Source organism: Homo sapiens, chromosome 12, assembly GCF_000001405.40.
Source record: "Homo sapiens chromosome 12, GRCh38.p14 Primary Assembly".
NCBI lineage: Eukaryota > Metazoa > Chordata > Mammalia > Primates > Hominidae > Homo > Homo sapiens.
The window spans coordinates 67187723-67190405 of NC_000012.12; the positions used below are offsets into that span (position 1 = coordinate 67187723).

At 38.8% G+C, this 2683-nt stretch overlaps 1 annotated feature.

Moving 5' to 3' along the window:
* Positions 333-834: an enhancer, noted in NCBI's record as "NANOG hESC enhancer chr12:67581835-67582336 (GRCh37/hg19 assembly coordinates)". NCBI's record gives its function as "activates a minimal SCP1, AML or CMV promoter by ChIP-STARR-seq in primed H9 embryonic stem cells {active_cell/tissue: H9 hESC(primed)}" and the evidence as "EXISTENCE:reporter gene assay evidence [ECO:0000049][PMID:30033119]".

Below are 2683 nucleotides of genomic sequence, written 5' to 3' on the forward strand. Positions count from 1 at the left end.
GCTTCTATACAATCTCCATGTCTTCTATCATATGTGTTTCATTTCAGCTCTACTGACCTGGTCTCCTTCTTTATCTCCTCCCATTTAACATTTATCCATTTGCCATTTCTTCCCAAACCACCACATTTTTGCCTCTTTCAGATTTGTCACCCAGTTACTAACACTGTTCTCAAGAGAAATTGTGAGCAAAAACATGCACAGGGCAGCATTTTGCCTAGACTCAATTCTTAATCTACAAACAAGTTATTTTTTGAACACTTACTTTGTACAAATCACTTACCAGGTACTAATGGGTTTACTATGAAACATAAGGATAATCATGCTTAACCTCAATTTAATTGGAGAAATGAAATGCATATACATTAAAGGACAGTTAATGGTGCAAGGCAGTATATAAATGCAAGCCAAATGAGGGATAGACAGTAAATGCTCTCAGTGTTAAGAGTAAGGAAAAATCCTTTTCAGCTAAAGAGGTTAGGGAAAGCTTTGTAAGACAAGAGGAAATGGATTTGATTCCTGTGGGACTTAGGAAAGTTGAAAGGAGATGAAAGGTTTCCTTAAGAGAGGAAATGGCAAGATCAAAGCCACAGCAATGAAATCTATTGAATGTGTTCAAGAGATTGGAGTGGATGGGTCTAGCTGAAATAGTTGATTAGTACGGGAAAGAAGGGAAGAGGGAGGCTAGAAAACTGGTTTTGCCTGAGATGATGGAAAGCTGTAAATACCATCTAAGGAATGTGAATTGGATATACTTTTAGACTTTATCCAAATTGCATATAGGATTTAGAGCAGCACTTAATGAATGTCCTGACTTGAAAAGAGTAACTCCAAGTTACTGCATACCCAATTTTCTCCACCCTGGAATTCTTTCTCTGATCTGTATTTAGCTGGCTCAGGCCTCATGGCTTCCCTTCCTTCTCCTGCAGCCTGCTTTTCATTTGCATTGAACCCTTCATCAGTGCAATTATAAAGAAGAGAGGAAATGGAACTTACACCAATCTATTTTAGAGTTAGATTTTACTGGTTCTACTAAAAGATTTAGAGAGAAAAATCTAAAAGCAATCTCTAGAATGAATATGATCTTTGATTATTAAAAGATTGTGTCTAGGAAGACAAACAAGTAGCAACTTTAGGAGCAATGTAGGTATGGATTGTTCATACTTTGGGAACTAGGAGAGATGTAGTGGCCCTTTTCTGTCATACATGACTTTCTGTCACTCAGTCTTGCAAATCAGGCAGCTTGCAAAATGGCAGTGATGCTCTTGACTCTGCCCAGTTTCAGGAAGAGAATTAGGTAATGAAATTAGTAGTAGTTTCTCTTCCCAAGTCAAATTCCCTCAAGAAAGCAAATGACATTATCTTATTTGGGGTTACCTAGAATATTTCCGGGTTGCAAGTAACAGACAACCTAACCCAAATAGATTTAAACAAGAGAGGAATTTACAGTACTAGAAGAAAGAAAGAAAGAAAGAAAGAAAGAAAGAAAGAAAGAAAGAAAGAAAGAAAGAAAGAAAGAAAGAAAGAAAGAAAGAAGGAAAGAAAGAAAGAGGGAAAGAAAGAAGGGGAGAACTTAGTTCATACACACAAAAAAGGAACTTACTAGCTTATGGGGTGATGTCATCAGGACACTGTCTCTTCCCATCTCTCAACTCTGTTCTCAACCATGTTGTGTTATTTCTTACACTCTCAGGATAGCAAGATGGCCATCCACAACTTCAAATTTCAAGGTTCAAGTCCAGCAGGAAAGAGCACATGCTTCCTCTCAACAGTTGCAGCAAAACTTCACAAATTGAATCTCATGAGATCTGATGAAATATTTGATTTTCCAAGCCTGAATTTCATGCCCCTCTATGGAGTTAGGTGTCCAGTCAACTCAATTCAAAAATCCATGGACAATGGATTGTGTCCATGAATTCTGGACAAAATGGAAAAGACAGTACTTTCCATGGCACTTTGCCAGAAGAAGGGGGAATGGATACTGGGTGAGGTGGGGAATAACAAATATCTACAACTCTTACATACAAAATGCCTGTCTCTTAGTAATACCTTGCACAATTTCCCCCATTCTTTTCAACTTTCCAGTACCATTGTCCTGTGACATTTGTAAGAAGAGAATACATAGAGCCCAAAAATGTACAGTGCCCAAGAGTGGACTACACTTTATTTATTTATTTGTTTGTTTGTTTATTTATTTATTTATTTATTTTTGAGATAGAGTCTCGCTCTGTCGCCAGGATGGAGTGCAGTGGCACGATCTCGGCTCACTGCACCCCCCGACTCCCTAGTTCAAGTGATTCTCCTGCCTCAGCCTCCTGAGTAGCTGGGATTACAGGCACTCTCCACCATGCCCAGCTAATTTTTGTATTTTTAGTAGAGACAGGTTTCACCATGTTGGCCAGGATGGTCTGGATCTCTTGACCTCGTGATCCGCCCGCCTCGGCCGGACTATACTTTTAATTTAGAGTAACGTTTTGGGCACATGGGCAACTAGCCTTTATGGAACAACTGTTCCATAACAAGGGATTCACTTTCACTATAATAGGTCATCTTCACAACATCCCTTTGAAATAGGCACATTGTTATTTTTTGATAAAGAAACTCCAGCTCAAAGAGGGTAAGCATCTCACCCAGTATCACATAGTTTAAAAAGAATGTGCATTGGTATTGGTGCTGGAAATCAGGG